The sequence below is a fragment of the Homo sapiens genome, chromosome 8 (assembly GCF_000001405.40).
Source record: "Homo sapiens chromosome 8, GRCh38.p14 Primary Assembly".
Lineage (NCBI taxonomy): Eukaryota > Metazoa > Chordata > Mammalia > Primates > Hominidae > Homo > Homo sapiens.
Genome location: NC_000008.11, coordinates 38,699,818 through 38,707,614, shown reverse-complemented (window position 1 = coordinate 38,707,614; position 7,797 = coordinate 38,699,818). Strand labels below are relative to the sequence as shown.

Below are 7,797 nucleotides of genomic sequence, written 5' to 3'. Positions count from 1 at the left end.
GCCCTCAGTCCTCTTCATTTAAGTTGTTCCTATTTGAGATTCAGACACATTAGTCTTTGTTTTCATGAATCTCTGATGATTTCCCTAGGATAGATTTCTCTAAGTGGAAAGTCTATTCTAAAAGTGTTGATTAGCAAAAACTGCTTTCAAATGAAGTACTTTAGGAAAATATTGAGGTATGGAGAGGTAGCATCTTTGAGAGAGATGGAGACAGCATGAAGTGGGGCAGTTTTGGAGTCTGGATGTGTAGATTGGAAGAGGTGGGGGAGTAGAACGTGCCTCAAGGTATTGGGCTTGGGCTTTCCTTAGAGACAATGGGACATAGGCATATTTGGAAGAAGAACTAATTTGAGGGAAGAAGATAAATTTATTCAGGGACATGAAGGATTTGGGTTATTGGGGCTCAGAAAACGATACTTCAAAATGAAGGCCTCAGAAACAAAAGTTTTTCTCTGATCTTCTCTTGTCCTCCTGTCTCTCAGTCCCATCCTCCCGAGACTAGCCAGAGACACTAGAATCTAAGAACAACCCAAGGCAGGTCTTAGAAACCAGAACCCCTTCCCCCCAAAGCAAGCCATAAAAACTAAAAATATTACTCTCTAACTTTCCCCTTGCCTTCTGTTTAAAAATTTGCCATAAGGAAATTTTCCGACCTCCCTGATTGGACTGTAGGTCATAAGACCCCCTTTCCAGAAAGGGTCCTGCCCCAAACCCAGAAGGAAGGAGTGCTGCTCAGAGAGGCAAAGAAGACTCTAGACAGACAGTCCTTGCTTGGTGTTCCCACTCTGTCTATCAGCATTAGATGGTTCCCTTTTTGTCCAATCATATTATTGGACAATATTTAATATATTAATCATATATTAAATAAATGTGTATGCCTTTTCTCCAATTAATCTGCCTTCTGCAAGTTGATTTTTCAGCAAAACTTTTGAGGGCCAAGGGGAACCAGGGCGCACCTAGGGGCACAGGGGCAGAGTCTGGGCTGGAGAAGTGTATGAGTCCATTTTCACACTGCTATAAAGAACTTCCCAAGACTGGATAATTTATAAAGGAAAGAGGTTTATTTGACTCACAGTGCAGCATGGCTGGGGAGGCCTCAGGAAATTTACAATCATAGTGGAAGGTGAAGCAGGCATGTCTTACATGGCGGCAGGTGACAGAGAGCAAATGTGTGCATAGGAGGAATTGTCAAACACTTGTAAAACCATCAAATCTCATGAGAACTCACTCACTATCATGAGAACAGAATGGGGAAAGCTGCCCCCATGATCCAATCACTTCCCACCAGGTCCTGCTCTTGACACATGGGGATTATGGGAATTACAATTCAAGATGAGATTTGGGTAGGGACACAGAGCCAAACCATATAAAGAGGTAAATTTGGGAGTCATAGCAGAGATCTTCTAGTTAAAACCATGAGAGGAGCTGTCTAGGGGAGAGAGAGCCCCAGGGTGATCAGAGCCCTGCAGAAGAGCCATGCTCAGAGGCACATTTGGAAGACACAGCAAATAGGTAAACAGGGGAGAAAAAGGTGGGAAAGTGCCTTGGGAAGGCTGGGTCATAAACAATGTCAAGTACTGCCCTGAGGTCAGCAAGGCTGAGGACTAGGGGGGAAAACCATTGTGTTTGGCCAGAAGAAAGTCCTGGCAACCTCCAGCAAATGCAGTTGCAATAGAATTGTGGGGGTGGAAGTCCGCGGTTTAGGGAATAGTAGATGGAGGCATTGAGTGTCAGCCACAATGTGGAGGATTTTGGCAGCCAAAGGAAGCGGGAAGTCTGGAAATTAGCTAAAAAAGAGGAGAGTGGAGCATTGTATTTTGTGAGTGTGTGTCTTGTTCCTATTCCAAGCCAGCAGCTTCAGTCGGCTTTTCCACATCCCCTACCACAGTTTCCTCAGCTTATTTTTCAATCCTAAATATTTTTTCAATCTCAGAGGAGATTACGTGGCTTCATAGGACCAGCTCTTCACAGAGAGCCTGGAACATAGGAAGTGCTCACTAAGCATTAGCTATTGTCATCATTTTTTATTAATTAACAGTCCTTAAGGGCTGGGCATGGTGGCTCACACCTGTAATGTCAACACTTTGGGAGGCCAAGGCAGGTGAATTGCTTGAGCTCAGGAGTTCAAGACCAGCCTGGGAACATAGTGAGGCCCCATCTTTACAAAAAATAAAAAAATTAGCCGGGCATAGTGGTGCATACCTGTAGTCCCAACTATTTGGGAAGCTGAGGCAGGACAGTTACTTGAGCCCAGGAGGTCAAAACTTTAGTGAGCTATGATCACATCATTTCACTCCAGCCTGGGCGACAGAATGAGACCCTGTCCCTGCTCCCCCTCTCAACAAAAAGAGTCCTTAAGAACAAAATATACAAACAAGAAGGACAGACATGAGGTAGGTAGAGTGAGAGTGGGAATGAGGTAAAAGGCGGGGGGTGGGGGGGCGCTGTCTTTAGCAGGGAATAATTGAAGCACAAACGGCTGGTTTATCTTTTCTTGGCCTTCATTGTGGGTCTACTGTGGACTGCATCTTCTGTGTAAGATGCACTAAAGGAGCCTGCCTTTTGTCAGTTTGCACGTTGATTTGAGACTCTTGTCCAAGATTTCTTTCTGCATTTTCATTCATTGCTTTGAAGTCAGTCTGAGTTTTAGTCTGGTCCTGCCCCTTGGGACTGCAGGAGGGGACAAAGGGGAACTCCCTGGAGTTTGAGATTTGGGAAGAATGTGCAGAGGGAAAATGAGCAAATGCCAAATGTGCCGGCACTGCCAGCAGACGCGAGTGAGGGATGGGGGCGCCTGATAGCCCACATCTCCAGGAGCAGATTGTAAGCGTAATCTCAAGGATTCATCCGCAGGGAGGATCTGGGCAAGAACAAAAGCCCAGAAGTTTCTGTTTGTGTGGCAAGATACAGAAACAGTGTGGGCTGAGAAGCAGAGGGGCAGGTCCTGCCTTTCGTGTAGCAAAATGACAATTACCCCATCTTTCAGCAGGCTGTGCAGGAAGAGGTAATTCGTTTATGTTGTCTGTAATTCTGCTGGCCTTCCCCCTACCCTGCCTCACATCCTGGTTAGAAGGCAAATAAGTCACTAACGTCCAGACAACCTAGTTTAAAGCTTCGATCATTTAAATTGTCACTTTGGGTAGGTCCAGTATCTGATAAGATTAAAATGCTCCACCTTGCAGCCTTTAGCTCTGCCTACTTCTCACCCTAAGATACTACTTCTCACCCCTGTCTGGGTACACAAAGAAAGAGATGTGTGTGGGTCACACAGGACGGTGGTGGGGTGGGAGCGTCTCAGACACATCCTCAGCATTCTTTATGTTCAGGGGCTTCCTGTGTCTACCTGGTGACTACTTGCCTGGCATTCTAAGGTGGCATAAAGGCTATTTAATGTGTGCTCTCTCGGCTTGACCACAGCGCAAAGCAATACACTGATGTGGCTTCACCGTGGCTTTCCTGTTGCTGTCTGGTTCTCTGAAACTGACATTAGGTCCCTATGCGGCAATTTCTCCCTGCGGCCCTGGCTATCTAGCCACCCTTCCCCAAGGTAATTCTTATCTTTCTCCCATCAGCATAGCTGGCTGCATTTCTTTTTAAGGAGCAGAAGTCCTGCCTTTGCAAAAGCTGACCGTCTCATTGCTTGATTTCATAACTGGGCTAAATGTCACCATGGGGGAAAAAAATCTACCATTAAGGCTACCCGTACAAAGAGACATGAGCCCCCTGAATTCCTCTGCATTGACTGATGTGTCAGATCCAAAGTGTTTGGAGTAACCCGTTGTTCTGGCATCCAGTGGAGAGGGCTTTCTTAGCCAGGACTGAAAGCTTGAGAGGCCTTTTATTTCAAACCCTCTAAACTCCGTGCTCAATGAGTATGGAAAGTGTTGCATGTGGAAATCACCAGGGCGACTGGGGGAAATGTTGCCAAAAGAGAAAGTTTCCAGTTCCTTGCTTTCAAAAGTGTGCACTGTGCCATATGTTGTGAGGTAATACAGATGCTCTGAATGGGGGCGCCACAGCCAAGGAAAGCAAATACAGTTCTAGTCCCTAATCCCGGGCCAGTGCAGAACTACTAAGAAAGAGTGAAAGACCAGGCTGCTAGGAACCCAAGCAGTGCAAAATGGAAGGAAGCTGCCCTGGGCCCAGAGCTTCATTTTGTTTAGGAGGAGAAAATGAGCTTGAAAGTGTCCCTGAAGCAGCAGTGTTCACATTAACAGATACCATCTGGAAATCAAAACTCAGAGTTTGTTTTTACAGATTTGTACTGAAAACCTGCTCCAGCCAGGGAACCTCACATCTCAGAAGTCTCCAGCAGGGCACTGAGATGTAAACAATCATTTAGCAAAATCCGGAGTCAAAATGACAGACGAAGGCTGTTGTCTTCTCTTTATGTAAATCAAGAAGTGAGGTTGGATGTGACCAAGTGCATGGAGATGTTACAGTTTGTATTGAGGCATTTGAAGTAATTTTTTTTCTTTTTAATTTTGCTGGGTACATGGTAGGTGTATATATTTATGGGGTACATCAGATGTTTTGATACAGCCGTGCAATGTGTAATAATCACATTGGAGTAAATGGGGTATCCATCACCTCAAGCATTTATCATTTCTTTCTTTCTTTTTTTTTTTTTTGAGACAGAGTCTCACTCTGTCACCCAGGCTAGAGTTCAGTGGCGCAATCTCAGCTCACTGCAACCTCCACCTCCTGGATTCAAGCGATTCTCCTGCCTCAGCCTCCCTAGTAGCTGAGATTACAGGCACCTGCCACCACGCCTGGCTAATTTTTTGTATTTTTAGGAGAGACAGCTTTTCACTATGTTGGCCCAGATGGTCTCGAACTCCTGACTTCAAGTGATCCACCTGCCTTGGCCTCCCAAAGTGCAAGGATTACAGGCGTGAGCCACCGCACCTGGCCGCATTTATGATTTCTTTGTTACAAACATTACAATTATACTCTTTTAGTTATTCTTTAAATGTACAATAAATTGTTGACTGCAGTCTTCCTGTTGTGCTATCAAATACTGGATCGTATTCATTTCTTTTACCTATATTTTGTACCCATTAATCATACCCACTCCCCTGCACCCTGCCTCCAATTTAAGTAATTTTTAACAGCCTCAGAGACAGGCAAAATGTATCTTCAGGACTCTTCATTCCCCTCAAGTATCTCGGGTCCTCATTCTGGTCCCCTATTTAATCACCCTCTCTGAATCCCCTTCCCCCGATATTACCTTTCCTAGGGGATAATGGTTCAATGGAGGATAATGGTTTAATGGGTTTTTTAGTCTCTCTCCCTATCTACCCTCTCACCATATCTGTATTTTAACCGGGCTTTCTGGTGACAATACTGTGCCTCTAGAGGAACTGTCTGAATTGTGGGGATTTGAGGCAGCAACTTGGCAGGCTGTTGAGGGGATAAGAGGGTTGCATTTGGGGAGCGGGTATACCTCTCAAATCCCCATTCTGCAGACAGTCACCTACACATGAGCATTCCCTGCTGAGAAGCTGGCTGGAGCTTCTTTTGGCTGCGCCTCCCATCTCCTGCCGTAGTCTGGCAGGCATGAGCAGGAACGTGGGCAAAAGCCTTGCTTCCCTGTTCGGAGCAGAGCATTAACTGTTCTGTGTTGTTGGCTGAGAACAATTAGTGCAGGTTTCTCTGGGTAACTGGGTGAAACACAGGCCCTGTGCATAATTCTACGTGCTCACCCCTTGCCTGCATATGACTATTTTCAAACAAATTTCCCATCCAGAAGTGCTCAGCTTCTCAGAGAGCCCCCATGCCTGGCTTCTTGCTCTGGCCCTCCACCGAGCTGGGACGCAGCTGGATTGCAATTCCATGGCCGTCCACTTCCTGCTGCTCCACGCTGGACTGTGGTCATCCTCGTGCTAAGGAAGGTCACGGGCTTGTTAATTAGCTGGAAAGCAAAGACAGACAGGATACAAATGTTCCTAGAAAGAAACTAGCATAGTGTGACGTCAGTACTGTTTTCAACTTTTAGCTGCTACCCTTTCCTGTTTCCTGAGGACATTTCAACATGACTTCGAGCACAGTTAAAGTGAACTGCCAAGGTTAAGCGAGGTATGGGCCTCAGAGCCACAATGCACTGATTTTTCTCTTGGTTTCTCAAAGGGAAGGTATGTGAAACCACAATGGGAAATACAGATTTCCAAGTTTTATTTTTATTTGCATGCAACATATATTTGCATGATCCTTTATTCTTGACATTTTTGCATTCATAATTTCATTTGAAGTTTTACCAGAATCATTTTAGGTAAGGTGGGCATTTATCTTTCCCTATCTCATCAGAATGAGATATTTGAGCTTAGAGAGCTACTACAGGTAGTAGTGACCAAGGTAGGACTAATTCTAGGTTTCCCGGCTCCTAGACAGGATTTCCATTGCATCCGATTGCCTTTCATTACAGAACCCAGAAAGAGCTGTGGGTTGGTCAAAATCTATCAGATCTGTTCAAGTGGAGATATGCTTTTGTTTTTTTCGTCTGTCCAGCTTTCCTTCCTTACGGAATCTCCCAGCCCCTAATTCTATAATACTACTCGCTTAGTTTGGCTGTGGTGAAACCCACCTTGTCCTCTACTAAAGATATGGAACGAAGACCTCGTCAGTCAATCTTCCATGATCCCGGCCACCGCAATTGGCTCAGGTAGGGGCACATGACCTAAGTTGGCCAATCAGTTTTCTTGGGCCTTTTGTTAACGCTCTTTTGTTTCTCCAGGTCGTTGCTGCCATGAAGTAAGAGTCTGTCTGGAAATGAAGGCGAGCAGAGGCCACAAAGCTGAGACATGGAGACAGAGAGAGTCCTGATGTTATTATTTGAACCATTGAGTCCAGCTGTGCCTGAAACTCTTCAGTGAGCCAAGAAATTCCTTTTTGGCTTAAGCCAATTGGAGTCGTGTTTGTGATACTTGCAAATGAAAGGAGTTATTGACTAATAAAACTGCCATTTCTATCTCTCCAAGAATTAGGAAATACTTCTTTAAAACTGTTTATTTGCAGTATGCTTTATTCCTTCCCACAAAAAAGAGGCAGCTTATAAAAGTAAATATGAAAAATAGGCACAAAGGGTGTATAATACATGAAATACATGTGTATATGTCTAGCACAGTCTTTATATTAAGTTGACAAAAATTATTATTATTATTATTATTTTTGCAACAGAGTTTCACTCTTGTCACCCAGGCTGGAGTTCAATGGCATGATCTCGGCTCACTGCAACCTCCACCTCCTGGGTTCAAGTGATTCTCCAGCTTCAGCCTCCCGAGTAGCTGGAATTACAGGTGCCCGCCACCACCAGCCCAGTTAATTTTTGTATTTTTGGTAGAGATGGGGTTTCACCATGTAGGCCAGGCTGGTCTTGAATTCCTGACCTCAGGTGATCTGCCTACCTTGGCCTCCCAAAGTGCTGGGATTACAGGCGTAAGTCACTGCACCTGGCCCAAAAATTATTTTTTAAGTTACAGTACGAACTACTGCTGAGGGTGCTGGGTAATTAACATTGTTGGAGAAATTATAAACTGGTGCAAACCTTCTGGAGATAAATTTGACAATGCTTATTCATATCCATTGTTTGTCTATAATCAACCATTCTTCTTTTAGGAATGCATCTGAAAGAAATAATTACATAAATAAGGAGATATGCAAAGATTTAGCTATGAGAATGATTGTTTAATCACCAGAAGTTGGAAAACAGCCTGAATATCCAATGACATAAAAACAAAATTGGCGGGGCGCGGTGGCTCACGCCTGTAATCCCAGCACTTTGGGAGGCCGAGGCGGGCG

General features: G+C 44.8%; 1 long non-coding RNA gene across 1 annotated transcript, besides 1 other annotated feature; it reads left to right on the top strand.

The window, feature by feature from the left end:
• Positions 5,791-6,291: an enhancer, noted in NCBI's record as "H3K4me1 hESC enhancer chr8:38558842-38559342 (GRCh37/hg19 assembly coordinates)". NCBI's record gives its function as "activates a minimal SCP1, AML or CMV promoter by ChIP-STARR-seq in primed H9 embryonic stem cells {active_cell/tissue: H9 hESC(primed)}" and the evidence as "EXISTENCE:reporter gene assay evidence [ECO:0000049][PMID:30033119]".
• Positions 6,439-6,979, top strand: LOC124901936 (uncharacterized). Its single transcript, XR_007060892.1, has 2 exons — positions 6,439-6,661; positions 6,734-6,979. It is a non-coding gene; the product is annotated as an uncharacterized LOC124901936 (long non-coding RNA).
• Positions 6,980-7,797: the final 818 nt, after the last annotated feature.